The sequence below is a fragment of the Homo sapiens genome, chromosome X, assembly GCF_000001405.40.
Source record: "Homo sapiens chromosome X, GRCh38.p14 Primary Assembly".
In the NCBI taxonomy this organism is placed as follows: Eukaryota; Metazoa; Chordata; class Mammalia; order Primates; family Hominidae; genus Homo; species Homo sapiens.
In genome coordinates, this window is record NC_000023.11 from 44,166,094 (window position 1) to 44,182,655 (window position 16,562).

General features: G+C 41.0%; 1 protein-coding gene across 4 annotated transcripts in view; it reads right to left on the reverse strand.

The window, feature by feature from the left end:
* EFHC2 (EF-hand domain containing 2) overlaps positions 1-16,562 on the reverse strand; it is a 195,801-nt gene that overhangs the window by 18,222 nt on the left and 161,017 nt on the right. For 2 of the 4 annotated variants that reach the window (NM_025184.4, XM_006724562.3), the window contains 2 exons: positions 12,274-12,471; positions 10,199-10,291 (listed from right to left, as the gene is read on the reverse strand). In NM_025184.4, coding sequence (NP_079460.2) covers positions 10,199-10,291; positions 12,274-12,471 — 291 coding nt within the window. Of the gene's footprint in view, positions 1-10,198; positions 10,292-12,113; positions 12,116-12,273; positions 12,472-16,562 lie in introns of all 4 variants that reach the window. The other 2 variants (XM_047442536.1, XM_047442535.1) reach the window with 2 other exon arrangements.

The window sequence follows — 16,562 nt, forward strand, 5'->3', positions numbered from 1 at the left end:
AAGAAGGGACTTATGATATTTTTAAAAGATCACTCTGACTGATACATTCAGAGTAGAACACAGAGGGCAAGGCAGAAGTGGCAAGGACAGTTAGAAGTCCCTTGCAGGGATCCAGATGAGAGATAACGGCAGTTTAGATGAGGGTGGTGGCACTGGAAGGCAGTGAGGAGTGGCCAATTCTGAATATATTTTGAATGTAGGATTCCTAAAAGACTATATATATTATGTAAGAGAGAGAGGGAAAAAGAGAGTATTCAGGATGACTCCAATGCCTTTGCTTGAATAACTGGAGCAATGGAGCTGCCCTAACTGAGATGAGAAAGACTGTAGGGGCTGCTGGTTGGAAAGATCATGAGCTCAGTTTTAGATATGCCACATTTGGATGGAAAGTGAGCAAGTGGGGCTATGAGTCTGAAGCTCAAGGAAGTAGTCCATTTGAAGATATAAATGTGGGAGTCATTAGCCATATGGAAGGTATTTAAAGCCAAAAAATTGGGAGACTTGAGGAGATCATCAATAAAATAAGTTTCTCTATCTGTTCTTAAAGTACAGAATTTGTCAGTAAATTCCCATTACATCAATTATAAGAGGCACTTACTCAATCCTAGGGGTTTCAGAAGTATAGTATCCTGGTAATCTGGGAACCAGTCAAAGACTACCAAATAAATCTAGGATCACATCAGACTTCACTCCTCATATACAATCCACTAAGCAGTCCTGTGGGTTCTACCACTGTAGCATATAACAAGTCTATCTATTTCTCTCCATCTCTTTTACCACTCCCTAATTCCAAGCCACTATTGTCTCTCATCTGGATTATAGCAATAACTTCCTGTCTTGGTCTTGCTACTTCTACTCTTACCTAGCAGCAGACCATCCTCCACCACAGTGCTCTTTCTAAAACACAGATCAGATCAATCACTTTCTTGCCTGCAATCCTCCAGTGGCTTCCCAATCCACTTAGAACACAAGCTAAACTCCTTATCAGGGTTTATAAGACCCAACTTAATCTGGCTGCTGATGGCCTCTCTGATTACATCTCCTCACTTGAAAACTCTCTCTGTTTACAATGTTTCAGGTATACTAACCTTCTTCTGGTTCCTTGATCATGCCAAGATTGCTGGCAGAAATGCAAGGCATTTGCACTTCTGGTCCCTTTGTCTGGAAAGTCCCATTTCAAATGTTGCTTCCTTAGAAAGTCCTCCTGAAGTTCCTCTTATCTGAGTCCCTATGCCTGAATTTGCATTTGCCCTAGATGATGGCTCTGGAACTTACTGGAAAATTTCTGGAAGTCACCACACGAAGTCCTATCATTAAATGTTGTTACCACTAACTCTGATATTTACTTGTTACCTCATAACACCCAGTCTTCCTTCCTGCCCAGTTCATATGTCAGACTCAAAACATTGAACCATTTATCCATTTAGGGGGACATTTAAGAAGAATATTTAGGAATCAAATGATATTCAGGAAGGTCCACTGAATAAAAGTATACATAGCTCAGAAATAATGTCTAAAAGTTTTTTGAGAAAAAATGCTTGAACGAGTTCATCTTTCCAAAATCCCAGAGCCAGGCCTAAAGGAAGAGTTGTGGTAATGTGGTAAAATACTCCAAGTTTTCCTTTTCAGTTCTGTCTTAGAGGATCTCAGTGTGTGTGGGAATCCCCCCAAGAGGCACAAGGGAGAAAAGAACAAAGGATATTTCAATTAAAAGGAATAAAACTAGCTCATGTTTCTTGGAAGAATTCTTTGCTCTTGGGAAGTAGATAGGGTTGCAGTAAATCACGATGAATCAATCACAAGTATTTCTCTCCCTTTTCCCCAAAATCCTACCAAAATGACCAAAAAACAATAAAAATAGGTTATAACCCACAATGACAAAGAGAATTGGAAAAAAGACCACGGTAGAGAAGAGACGTCAAACTCTTTTCAAGATGAAAAGTAAACAGAGGATTGGTAACTAACTTGGCAGAGCTGAGGAAGAGAAGCTGAACCCTAAATGTCCCTGTCAGTGGGGAGAGGGCACTCAGAGTCCAGTCGATTTGGCCCACAAAATTCCTGGGAGACTAAGTGACTGCAGACTCCAGGTGCCAATAAAGGCAGGAATATGGTGTGGCACTGAAAACACGGATTGTTTGAAAGCCTTTAGAAAGCGGTGTCCGGGCGTGGTGGCTCACGCCTGTAATCCCAGCATTTTGGGAGGCCGAGGTGGGCGGATCACGAGGTCAGGAGATCGAGACCATCCTGGCTAACACAGTGAAACCCCGTCTCTACTAAAAATACAAAAAATTAGCTGGGCGTGTTGGTGGGCACCTGTAGTCCCAGCTACTCAGGAGGCTGAGGCAGGAGAATGGCGTGAACCCGGGAGGCGGAGCTTGCAGTGAGCCGAGATTGCGCCACTACACTCCGGCCTGGGCGACAGAGCGAGACTCCGTCTCAAAAGAAAAAAAAAAAAAAGAAAGCAAGAGCAACTGAACAGCCAAGTATCTTCCTCCGTACTGTGCTCCTCCCTGTAGAGACCAGAGGCTTGTTCTCCAGAGAAATTCAATGAAAGAAGCTCCAGTTTGGGGAGAGGAGGCAAAATGGAGTGCAGAGGTGAGGGGCGGTCAGGTGCCTTCCTTCCCCTTTTCTATTCCTAGAATACCAGTGGCCATGCGTAAACTCTCCCTTTCCCCATCACAACCTCCCTCCTATCTTTGCAGGAGAAGATAGGATTCTTCTCTCCACACTCTGAATGGTTCCAGAGAAATCTCCAGATTCCAGCTTCTGGGGATTCTCTAATAAAATGAAGGCTCAGGAGTTGACTGGGTAGTGAAATCCACTAATCAACAAACCCCTTCCCCTGACCAAAGCATCCAACATTAAAGACAGAAGCCAAAACAGCAACACAAAAAAAAACAAAAAACAAAAGGAACCAAAGGCAATTCAGGGAACACAGGGAAAGATGTGAGATATGAGGATGTATTACATTCCTGAAAAAAGAACAGAAGACTACAAGAAAGGAATATCTGGATGAAAAACGTGCTCTTGGAATTAAAATTTTTAATATGATAGTAAAAGATGCAGTAGAAGGGCTGGAATATAAACTTAAGGAAATCCCTTAGTAAATGCATCCTAATAAAAAACAAAATCTGGGAGAGAAAATATCCAAATTCGAGAGCTCTAAAATCTTTCTATTTATTATTTATTTATTTATTTTTCATACAGGGTCTTGCTCTGTTGCCCAGGCTGGAGTGCAGTGGTGCAATTATAGCTTACTGTAGCCTCGATCTCCCAGGCTCAAGTGATCCTCCAGCTTCAGCCTACTGGGTAACTGCGACTACAGGTGCGTACCACCATGCCTGGCTAATTTTTTATTTTTATTTTTTGTAGAGACAGGGTCTCACTATGTTGCCAGGCTGGCCGAGAACTCCTGAGCTCAAGTCTCCTGCCTCGGCCTCCCAAAGTGCTGGGATTACAGGTGTGAGCCACCACACCTGGCCTTAAAATCTTAGCAATAGGAGTTCTCATAATAGAGAAGAAATTATTAAATAATTAATAGAAAGTTTCTCAGAACCAAAGGACAGTGACTCCAAACTAGAAAAGCCTATAGGGTGTTAAGCACAATGAATCTATATATAGCTACACATACACACACACACACACACACACATACACACTCTCTCTCTCTCTCTCATCATGAACTTCCAGAATACTAGGAATAAAGAGAAGATCCTAAGAGCATTCCAAAAGAATAAATAGCAATGTAAATCAATATTAAGCTAAATTTTCAGTCACTATAACAGGAAGTTAGCAGACAGTATCTGCAAATGATCAATTATGATATCATGTGCAGTGCACTCAATATGTACATGCTATTTTAAATAGCAGAAGCAGCTAGAAGTGCTGAAAGTGGCTTCTTCTTGTGAATGGGTCTGGGGGGTGGAGAAGAATGTGGCCAGAGACTGCTGTTGTTGAAATAAGCTTTTTAGAATGATTTGATAATTTTTGACTATCAACATATGTCAGTTTGATATGAAGAAAATTTTAAGGAGTGTAAAAAGCAGATGAGAGACTCTGAGACATGATTTTCCAGGTAGTAAACATGTAAAAGTCAGATGTGGAAAGAAAGAAGTGCTACTAGTCAGGAGTATATTCAGGAGGAATGAGTCTCTCAGTTTTCCTCCCTGCTCCAAAATTCTGCCCGTAGCTTCCTGGGCCACTGACATAGGGTGATTTTTCATGCCATCATTTGTTATTATAACATGCACTCTATACACCATGCTTGTTAGATGAGGTTGTAAGGAGAGAATCAGGACATAAGGAAGATCTCCAGTCCTAACAATAGTATAGGTCAGAGGAGGAGGAGGAGGCAGGGGAAGCAGTTCAGAGACAAAGGTCTGAATATTACAGGAGTGAGAACAAATCAATCAGTCAGTGACTAGAGTTACCCCTGAAGGTTATCTCCCCAAGTCCCCCATCACAGAGGCCTCCCTCTGTCTCATGGCTAGAAGCATCATTTACCAAATCCTAGCCATCCTTTCAAAATAATCTGGAAAAGCCTATGAATCATATAGAAGATAAATCTCCTTATTTCATGGCCATGCTGTGCTTTCCATAAAAAAAAAAAAAGTGGTCCCAATTCTCCACCTGAGTCCCCTGCTTCACTCCTCTCCAAACGACATTGGCTCTTGTTAAAACTCTGATCCATGGTCAAAGGACAAAGATTTGCCACTCTGGAGGAAATTCTTTTCAAAAGGCTTTGAAAAGCAATTCCAAAGAAGAACTTTCTATGGCCACATTGTTGGAATCAGTGTGCAGCCTTCCAGGGTGACTGCCCTAAAGGGCAGCACTAATTCTGGCTTTTAAGTGTTTCTACGCTTGTTAAAAAGTCAGCCTTCTTACTTTCAAGTCCTAGCTCACAGTGCGAAAGTGTTTTCCTAAAACCTCCATAAATTCTTCTTTCCCTCTGATACTTGCGAATCCACCATTTTCTCCACTACACAAACTCAGAGACATGTTGTGGAAAAAGGGGGAGGGAAGGCAATTCCTCTGGTTCCTTTCTAGATAATACGACCCCTCGAACATGCTTCCTGATGTCATGCTAGGTGGGAGTTCTTAGAACTGAGTCTGATGTGATGTTTGACTGATGTTCATACTCCCCCTCCCCAAAATGATAAATGGCTTGAAAACCACAGAAGCCAAGAAGCCATCCATCTTCTTGCTACGGGGAATAATCCTGAACTGCTCTATTTCCACCCTTGATAGAGGTAAAAGGCTCAGTGGCAGCTGTATTTTGCTGAAGAGGAGCCTTCTTCTCCTCTATTGCAAAGGTCACCTCATCATTTAGGGGAATGGTCTGGAAGGGAGAGAAGACGGTGAAGATCCATTTTTGACTCAGTTGTATTTGGTTTCAGTCCATTACCCAACGAACCCAGGGGTGCATCTTGAAACACCTGGTAAAAGTCGTCAAGGCCAGACACTTGAGAAGAGATGGAGCTCTGGGCCTCTGCGTCAAGTTGCCAACAAGTAATTCTGGTTATCTCTAAATAGTCATGCCTCTAAATTCCAATTCTGACTCCAGCACAGATCTCTGGTGAGGTGGGTCACAGCTGCCAGGTAAGGCCTGTACATAGAGTCGATACTCTGTTTGTCCATATGGTTTGGGATTTAAAAGAAAAATCTTTTCAACTAGAAATCCCCTTATATTTGAAAAGGTAGAAAGCATCTGGGTGGGTGGATGGGTCTGACAAAGAGACAGAGAGAGTGAGAGGAGAGAGCACACAAAGGAGGAAAAAGGGAGAGACAGAGAGACAGAGAGAAGGGGCTTCTCTGTGAAAACTTCATCAGTACACCAAACACTCTGCCACAATAACTACCACATGGCTCAGCCCTTGCCCTTCAGCCTCACTGCCAGGTATTGTTGGGTGAAATCACAGGAGCACTAACCGTGCCTCTGGGAGCAGGGCAGGGGGCAAGGCTGGGTAGACTATAATGAGATGATTTTAAAGCCCTGTTAACTTTTTCCATTTTAACTGATATTTCTGGATGAGGCACCAGCTCTCTTGGGAGGCCAGTTCTAAGGCATTCCATGGAACCCAAAGCCAACTATAAAAGTCTAGCTCAGGACAGAGCTGCTGGGGAAAGAGTTGCACTTGAATCTCTAGTTATTCCAAGTCTAGATTCAGAAGGCCACAATTAGGGGAGAAGGCTGCCTCTTTCCTTCCCAGTCCCATGAAGAATACAGAATGGAATGGCTTCAGAATTCCCTCTACCTCTTATGGTCTAACAATCAGAATTTTTTGCTTATTATTACAGAGGAATATGAATATCCAAATGAAGGCTCAGAGGGGTTGAGTAAATGCCCAAGAATCGCATGGTCAGGAAACAGTAGAGTTGACCTGCAGAGGCAGGAGCAGCTCTGGTGGACACCGAGCCCATGTTTTTCTACCCCATGTCCAGTGCGTTAGCACAGGACAAGTCTTTGAGGCTGCAAAAATGAACGAGATCTAGTCCCTACCCTCAGGAGCTCAGATAGAGGCAAAGGTTTAGAGTATCTTAGGCAGTTGTAGTTCTACTTCCATTAGAGGCTCATCTTGGCCTGGAGCACAGTCTTTCAGTGAGAGACTCTCAGAGTTTATACTTATGAAATGAGGAATAATGCCTACTGCCAATTAAAATGTACCTTTTAATATGCTCAAAAATTTACAAAATATTCTAAGGCCCTTAGCACTACATCAATACAAAGTATCACTCCTATTATTAATGGATAATCGCTACCACTATATAGAACATTTAAGTCTGATGCTCTGTGCATTAATGAAATGAATTTGCTTGGTAAGTAAGGTGACCTTATACCAGCTCCCACAGCACAAACTGACAGGGGCTGAGGTAACCAGGTACAAAAAGGTTTTGAAGTCCTGATTCCAGTTTGAGTTATGTTAACATAATAAGGAAAAGATCAAGCTGAATTATAAGAAAAATGGGAATGGAGTAGAAGGAAAATCCTGGTACCAAAATATAGGGTTAGGAGAAATACATGGGTAACAATTACTGGGTGAAAGAAAGCATCCAACCCTTTAGCCATATTGTTTTTCATCTCCTGATCTGAATTTACACAGCAGGGTTACACGGCTGCTCAGCAGCTGCCCAGCTCCATTCCAAGGCAGGTAAAACTATTCCTGGGCAAGAGCATGCATTGAACAAAATCAACAAGCTCCATGCCTGCCTCCCACGGGAGACTGTAGACGTCAGAGGGGGCTCTGGCTTAGCGTGCCATAAGGAGGGCTGTGCAGAAAGAGACTCTGGTCAGGGCTCTGTAAAGCCCTGTGGAGTCTGTGGGGAACAATAAGAATGCAGAATATAAATGTAAGCTGCAGGCTGATGGGCCCATTAGGAATTAGGGCAGTCTTTGAAAGGAATCTGCAGAGATGATGCAAAACACTAAGCATGTGACCCAAATCATGGCAGGGCATATTGGAGGGAGAGGGGAATGGGAATGAGACATTTTCTAATCTGATTAGTCTGAAGTTTCCCCTGAGTGTGGAGAAGGGTCACTGCACAATTAGAGGCAAAGTTAGACTGAACATGGTCTGCTTAGCAGCTGAGCGGGATGACCTCCTCAAAGCTAAGCTGGGCTTGGAGACAGATGTGTTCAGAGACTGAGATGACTTCGAAGCAAGTTCTGAAACAATCTTTTTGCATTTAATGTCAAATCGTAAAGGCAAAGACAAAACAGTCTGCTGAGAGAATGAGAGGATGATGACTTGGTGGCCTCAGCACTGGATAAGAAACATGTAGGTCCTCCAGAGGCCAGGCTCCCACATTACTGGACTTTCCAGGACAACTCATCCTTAAGACCATCAAAAGATAATCTAATAAACATCCACAGCTTCCTGACTAGAAGACAGCTTAATGTGTGAAAGGCATTCAGATCCAATTGTTGAAAAACATGGCTTCCTCTACATAGAAAGACACAGGTTTCTTCCAGTTCATTTCTAAGTCTGAGTGTGTGGTCTATGGTCCCTGACTTAAATTTCTCTCCTAGTCCTCAATCAATTCTTTGCACCAGGTACTGTGCTGGGTACTTTATGTATGTTATCTCAATTAATCCTCTGAACCACTAGGAAATAGGTACTGTTACGTCATTCGAGAGATAAGGAATCTGAGGTTCAGGCAGGTCAAAACCCTTGCACAAGATCACACAGCTAATAAGTGGACTCAAAGAATTTAAGAGATGGGAGTGGAGGAGGGGGGTAAAATTGTCAGGATGTGACAACCCATTGGTTATTTATAGGTGGTAAATCACACAGAAGCAGTGTCTGCATCTGAATGAATCGAAGTTCAAGTCACAACTCTTCATTCCAAGGTAAGGGATAAAGAGACACATAAATAGCACTGTGAGAATTCTGAGCAGGAGATAATCACTCTGATTATCAGCCAAACGAATGCAACAGAGCTTCATGGATATGGTGCCACTTGAAATGGGTCTTGAAGGAAGAGCAAGCTTTCAGCAAGTGAAAACCATTGGGAGCTATTGCCTACTGATGAAATAGCAAGGGAAAAGGCCAAAAAAAAAAGGGGGGGGGAGGGGGAAGGCAGGAGGTATATGTGTAATATGCTAAACGGCCCATGTGGCTGGACTACTGGGAACAGGAAGGGGAGTTTTGGGAGTGGGGGATGATATCTGTGAAGAACTCTGAGTCCAAGGCCTGCCTACTTCATCTCAGTTCCTTCACGGCAGGATCCCTCACACGGCTGCTAGCAAATAAAAGCAAATAGAGTTAAACAAAAACAAAATCAAAACAAAACAAATAGAACTGATAATCTAGAAAATTATTCCAGGTTGATTCAATGCACATACACATCCAACTAGATTTGCCCTCTTCTGGGTTTCCCTCCTGATACCTTGGACCCTAGTTCCCTGACATAGAATTTGGCTTTATCTGTTCCTTTGGTTTCTCCTTTTGTCTCAAACAAGGACTCCCTACTTCAGACCCTATTTGAGAACAATGCTCCAGCTGCGAACCCTAAGCCCCACTATGGAGAAGGAGCTTAATTCAAAGTTAAAGAGCTGGTCCTTCCTTAGAGAGCAAAGAGACACCACAGAAGGTTTGTGAGTAAAAGTGCAATAAGATGACATACATTTTTGCTCTTAGAAGGTACTTAGCTGCTATATGTAAAGATGGATTTAAACATTTAGACACTGGTGGATGAAAGACCAATGTGGTGGCACCGCAGTATTTAAGAAGCAATGTGGGTCAGAACAAGAATGATGATAGTGGAAATGGAGAGGAGAGAGTAGAAGCAAGCAGTAAGGAGGAGGTAGAACTGTCAAGACATCCTAATCTACTGGCTATTTGTAGACAGTAACTCAAAATGATTAGAAGCAGAGGATGTGCATTTGAAAAGTTCAGGATTCAAATCAGAGCTCTTCTTCTTCTACACTATGTGACTTTGGGCAAAATACCTCATCTCTCTAAACCTCAGCATCCTTACGTATGAGATAAGAAGGATAACAGTTTCGACCTCACCAAGCTGTTCTCAAAAAGTAAATGAGATAATATATCCAAAACAATGATCACAATGCCTAGAACACAGCTGAAAATGTCAGAATTATCAAGATATATAAGTCAGAGGAGGAGCTAGAGTGAGTGATGCTATAGGAAGCATAAGAGATGGCCAGAGTCTAGGTGGCTGAGAGGGACATGCCAGGAAATCAAAAGTCAGGTTCAACAGGAGAACTGATGTGTTTTAGAAAGCAGTTCACCATGCTCTCATTTTATAGCATCATAATCTCTATGTTTTACATCTGGTGCTCTATCAGGACAGAGCCCCATGCTAATAACCCTAGGTTCTCTTACTGCATGTCTATAGCTATCAGGAACTGCTGCTTTGAAAAACCTGCCCTGAATTTTACATCTAATGTCCTCCTAACCAACAAAGTTGTGTATTTCATTTTGTCCCAGGAATCTGTGGATCTATAAGTGTGTATTCATGTTAAAAAGATAAAATAATAATTTGTAATAGGCTCTCTAACATTCAAAATCAAGACAAACTTTTCCTTCTGTAACACTTAAATGGAGGCAGGTCACCAATAATATAATCAAAACAGTTAAGGGTAAATCAAGGGTAATTAAAGGGAGATGTAAAACCAGGAATGGTCCCCCAAATAAAACTATGCAGGACAATCCCTATCAAGAGTGGAACTCTAACTTACCTTGACAATAAGGATTCTAGAAGATCATCACTCAAAGGTAATCTGGAGGATTTGCACAGCCTTTTAATGTCTTTGGTGGGTAATACATTTTTTCTGCATTAAAACAACGTAAATGAGCTTTTATATACCTTGTATACCTTTAGTAATAATTACATACTATAGGAAAGAAAATACATTTGTGATGTTTCCTGAGAATGTACACATGGAAGTATGAAAATTGGTATTGGAATTCACAATAAGGAAGAACAGTCACATTTCATTTCATCAACTTTTTCTATTTCAGAGGCCACCAGACTCCATCCTTACAAAGGCTTTTCCTTCAAGATGCAGATTCTTGGTTGGTGACAGTACAGCCTATTAAGGCTACAGCCACAAGTGTTGCTCTAAGTAATTGATCTGCATTCTTGACCACTAGTCAAAAATGGTTCTGATATTTGAAAACATCTCTTAATTTGACAGGCATCTAGAGCCTCCAACACAAGTATGATATGACTTGAGGGTGTTTTTCTGTTCTTTTCCTTGGACCCAAACCTTATCACCTGGAAGCCCCAGCTGGGGCCTCAATATTCACTTCAATTTTTTCAGATGCTAGCAGTTTTCTCTAGAGCAGCCCAAAAGTCATTTTCTCCAGTCTTATGGGGGCAAAGACATTCTTGTCCAATGTTCTCATTCAGCCAACACTTTTCCAGGCATCGGGCAAAATTAGAACCAACAGGAAAGAAAGTTGGCTCTTTTCTTTGCAATGAGAATGTTTATATCTAGAATCAAAGCTTGATGGATCTGGAAGAACCTCAGGCTATCTGGTCAAGCAGCCCCATTGTTCCTAAGAAGTGTTCCTTGAATGAAGGAGGGCCACACTTCTCACTCTGGGGAAGGGGGCAACACCAGGGTGGAAGGCAGGGCCAGGGCCATGCAAAACTCAGGCCACACATCTTCTAGGAAGCTTGGGAAAGCTTAAAGAGTCAAGGAAAAATACCATCTTTATAAAAACTCAAAGAGGATGCATTATGGATTAATAAAAAAAATGATTATTTCTAAGACAAACTATGGGACCTACACAGATATTCAGGGAATGCAGTTGGCCACTTGGGTTCAGACTTCAAGTTTGGGGATAAGGCAAGAAGTCACAAGGAAGAGAGATGGCAGTGGTGTGCAGCAATACGGATTAGAAGCTAGAGCAAGAACTAAGATTTTTCTAATTCCAGATGAAATCAGTAAATTTATATTTCTCCCCACTGTATAAGGTCTGTAAGATGAATGCAAAAAAAACACATTAAGTTGTTTGCATCCAGTTGTATGTAACAATGACTTAATGAAGCTCAACACGCACACAATCAATGTATAAGAAATAGCTTATACTGAACTTCATTATTTTCAAGAAGAAATAATTTCAAAGAAATTCTACAGAATGTTTGCTTGAAAATTCCATTTTCTATTTATTATAAAAGTTACATTTATAAATCCCCATCAGTACTAAAATAATGTAAAAAGACGACATCTCAGAATTAACCCTCCTAACATTTTGATTTACTATGCTTCAGTTGAAAGCTTCTAGAAACAAATGAAAAGAACATGCAAGGGAGAAGCCTATTCTTTCAAAGATACAGGGCCTCCCCTATTCCGTCAACAAGACTAGCCTGGCCAACATGGTGAAACCCTGTCTCTACTAAAAATACAAAAAAAAAAAAAATTAGCTGGGTGCGGTGGTGCGAGCCTGTAGTCCCAACTACTCAGGAGGCTGAGGCAGGAGACTCTCTTGAACCTGGGAGGTGGAGGTTGCAGTGAGCCGAGGTTGCGCCACTGCACTCTAGCCTGGGCGACAGGGCCAGATGCCATATCACACACACACACACACACACACACACACACACACACACAAGCTCTCCATCACTGGGAAATATCTGTACCTAAATACTTCTCCGAAAATGATTTAAGGTGTTTGTGCTAAATAGTAGAGTATGAGTATGATGACACATGTCTATTTTCTTTTTGCACTTTTTGATAAAATAGAAATTCCTTCATTACTCAGGTTCACAGAAATGTAAATGATTAGAATCAATAAAACAAAAGCTTACTTTTCTCGATCTTCATACACACAGGAATAAATGAAAGTGTCGAAATTCTCAAACATATTTTTCTTGAACTTTTCGTGGGCCAGTGCGATTAAGAAATCCATATCTGAACATGTGCCCTCAGGCACACGGTAGTGACGTGCAATGGTTACAAATTCTTGCTCTGCAAGGTTTCCAACAGTCAAAGACATCAATATGTCTCTGTAATAAAAATGGAAAAACATTTATAAACTGATATCTAAGAATACAGTATTTTACATCTCCTTCTATTTAAAAGATCCAAATTCCATTTTACAAAACTTTTACCAACTGTACAGAGGTCATGTGATTTTTTTAACTTAATTTCTCTTCTTAATTTGGGAGCAGCAGGAAGGCACCAATGCCAGAATGGAAAATCATAGGCACTGTAGCTTATAAATAAAATGGCATTTTGCCCAGAGTTAAACACCTACCAAATAACAGCCTGCAACCAGGAAGTAAATTTTTAAAGGCTTTGAATGGTCAAAAAACCTATTACTAAGTACATGACTTTATTCAATGCCTATTAATCTTCCTTACACAAAATAGTAACAGGCTTGGGTTTCTGGTTTCCTGGGACATAAAATTTGTAAGTTAATAAATTAGAAAGGTGTTTTGGGATGGGGAAAGCAATCATGCACATTTCTGTAATAAAAAGTAAAACTGGACACACCCTGGCAGTGAGAAAAAAAAACAAGAGAAAAAAAAATGAAAAGTTAAAAGACCTATGTAAGCGTACAGCTGTCTGCATCTTTAGAAGGCAAATGGTACTGAGATTATTAGGCAGAGCTAAAAAAAAAAAACTAAACAACAACATATCAATGAAGACGACTCAAGGCCTAGCAAATTGGCTGAATTGTTTTCAATGTAACTCTGTATGAAAGCCATAAACTAAGCAGCATACACCAGACAGAATTATATCAAAATGATTAAAATGCAAAATGTTATGGTGGTTACAGGAATAAGCTTCCACTGTCTAGAAAATTTATTTACTGGAAATAATTCAGTTCCCAAGAATCCTGAATAAACAAGGGAATAGAAAATTTTATTTGGCCTTCTGCTAGAAAGAGGTCTTTCAGAATAAATGCTTTCAGTTCTTTTAGGTATTTCTGGACATTATCATCTAATAATTCTAGATTCTCCTAGTCAAGAATTTCCATAGAGTCTAGGAAAGCCCACAGCATTGATGTTGACCTATCTAAAGGAAATTCATTTAATCTACATCTACTTCTCAAGTTTCCTGGGTTGTTTTGTTTTGTTTAAATTTGGTTTTGCTTTTGTATTTTTAATGGGAAATGAATGCAAAATCCAACCAAGATGATCCCAGAATTTCAGCAAGTCAGGTCAGACAATCAATTAGTAATATTGGCAGGAGGCTCGCTATATGGAAAACACTGTAAAAGGCTCTCTGGCATTTGAACTTTTCAGAATCTGTTATCTATTTGCACTGTCCAAGCATATAGATGATCTTTCAAAGCCACAAACTGGTAGGGCCACTTAAATAAACTGAGTAATAGCAATAACCTCTGCCATTTGTTGAGTACTGTGTGCCAGGTCCTGTGCTAGCAGGGACTTCTGGCATCTAGCCTAGGAGGTGGTGCTACTATTATCCCCACTGTACAGATGTGAACTGAGGCACAGAAATGTTAAATAACCTGCCTAATGTCACAAAAGCCAGAATGTGAACCCGTGTAGTCTGGCTCTAAAGCTCATGCTCTTGCCTACTACTCTATCCCTCTTCTGTTGGGACACAGAAGGCGGAGAGAACTGATGGAGTGGGGCTCAGTCAGGAAATGTGCCTAAAGGCAGTGGGGTTTAAGCTGATTTTTTATGGACCTTTATTGCCTTTATTGTCCATCATCTCTGCTTTGAGGGCTATCACTAATCATTATTTAAAAAGTAAGAGAAAATAATTTCAGAAAACCTGAGTCACCAACCATCTCTGACAGAGGGCTAAGTAACCACAAAAGAGCCACTCCAAGGAAAGCCCCTGGCTCCTCTACAACGCTGATCAAGAAACAGTCATGCCATGTGTGTAAAATGGAACACTACATCACCATTAAAAGCATTATGTTTGGGGCCAGGCGTGGTGGCTCACGCTCGTAATCCCGGCACTTAGGGAGGCCAAGATGGGCAGATCGCCTGAGGTCAGGAGTTGAGATCAGCCTGGCACATGGTGAAACCCTATCTCTACTAAAAATACAAAAATTAGCTGGGCATGGTGGCACACACCTGTAATCCCAGGTACTCAGGAGGCTGAGGCACAGGAATCACTTGAACCCAACAGGCAGAGGTTGCGGTAGCTGAGATCATGCCACTGCACTCCAGCCTGGGTGACAGAGTGAGACTCTGTCTCAAATAAATAAATAAATAAATAAAAATAAAAAAGAAGATTATAGAAGAATAAATCTAAAAGTTAAAAAAAAGAAGTTATGATGTCTGGGAGGCTGAGGTAGGATTGCTTCAGCCCAGCAGTTTGAGGCTGCAGTGAGCTATGACCATGCCACTGTACTCCAGTCAGGGCAACATAGTGAGAACCCATCTCTACCAAAAAAAAAAAAAAATAGCTGGGCATGGTGGCATGCACCTATAATCCCAGCTACTTGGGAAGCTGAGGCAGGAAGATCACTTGAAGTTTAGGAGTTTGAGGCTGCAGTGAGCTATGATCATACCACTGCACTCCAGCATGAGTGACAGACAAAGACCCCATCTCTAAAAAAAGAAAAGTATGGTATTGATTGATATTTATTGGTAGGATAGATGTCCATGCTATGTTGATAAATGTAGTATGATCCCAGTGAAAAATCAAGATACAGGTGCACATATGGTCATAGAAATAAGACCAGAAGGATGCATGCCAAAACATCAATAGTATTATCCTGAATGGTTGAGATGTCTTTTAAAAAAAAGTATTTCCATTTTTTCTGAATTTTTGTAATAATCAAATATTATTTTCATTGTCTAAATGAAAAAAAAAAACATTCGAAAGCATTTCCTTTTGAGAGTAGAATATGGCGTGAAGAAGAGAAAGTGGCATGCTCCCAAGGACAAGGAAAAAGAACATGTGGAGCAATAACTAGAAACTTTCCATACACCTTTCACTAAACTTATTATAGCACCACCAGAACATAAAAGTTTATTTTCCTTTTCATTGGATAAACTGAAATTATCCTGGCTTCACTGCAGTTAAAATTTATATCTGCTGGGTTTCTGTATGCTTGGGTTTTAAACAGCTCAGTATTCCGGTTTTACATGACTTTACATGAAAGTTTCAAAGAAGCTGTGCTATATTTGAAACTGCCAACAGCCCTGCAGGGCATCAGGGGCTCCTGGAGCGGCTGCCTGTGTGGCTGCTGTGCCCACATGAGGCAGGTTCCTGCACGAGGGATCTCAATCAGGATGTACAAGCCTCACCTTGCAGACCTCAGATGGCTGTCACCACTCTGCCCCGCATTTGCCACAAGTGTGTTTTTCAGGACTCACCCCCGCCCTGTTAAACTTTAGTAGGATTCACAAAGAATTAAAAATCAAAAGTCACACATTCCATTTTTCATTGTGGTAAAATACACATAGCATAAAATTTGCCATTTGTGACATTTAGTATATTCACAATGTTGTATAACCACCACCTCTATCTAGTTCTGAAACATTTCCATCACCCCAAAGAAAGCTCATACCCATTGAGCAACCACGCCTCTTTCCTCCCTCCTTCCTAACCCTCCTCCCTACCCAGAATCTGCTATCTCTACAGATTTGCCAGCTTCTGGATATTTTATATAAATGGAATTATGTAATATGTATTCTTTTGTGATTGGGTTCTCTCAGCACATTTTCAAGGTTCATCCATGTAGTAGCATGTATCAGGACTTCATCGTTTTTCACGGCTGAATTCTTATTCATTGTACTATCATACTATTGTTCATTATATGAATGTGCCATACTTTGTTTATCCACTCATACATACATGGACATGTGGGTTACTTCCACCTTTGGCTGTTGTGAATAGTGCTGCTATGAAAATCTGTGTACAAGTTTTGTGTAAACACCTGTTTTCAATTCTTTGGGGTATATATACCAAGGAGTGAAACTCCTCAGTCACAGGTAAGTCTGTTTAACCTATTGTGGCACTGCCAAACTGCTTTCTGCACACTCTATTTTTGCTTAGCAGCAGCCACAAAAACATAGGTACAACTTCCATCAAGCATAGCCCTTCCTCACCTAAAATGTCATACTGAACTTGAAATAAGATCTGATAGCAAAATCTGATCTCAGTA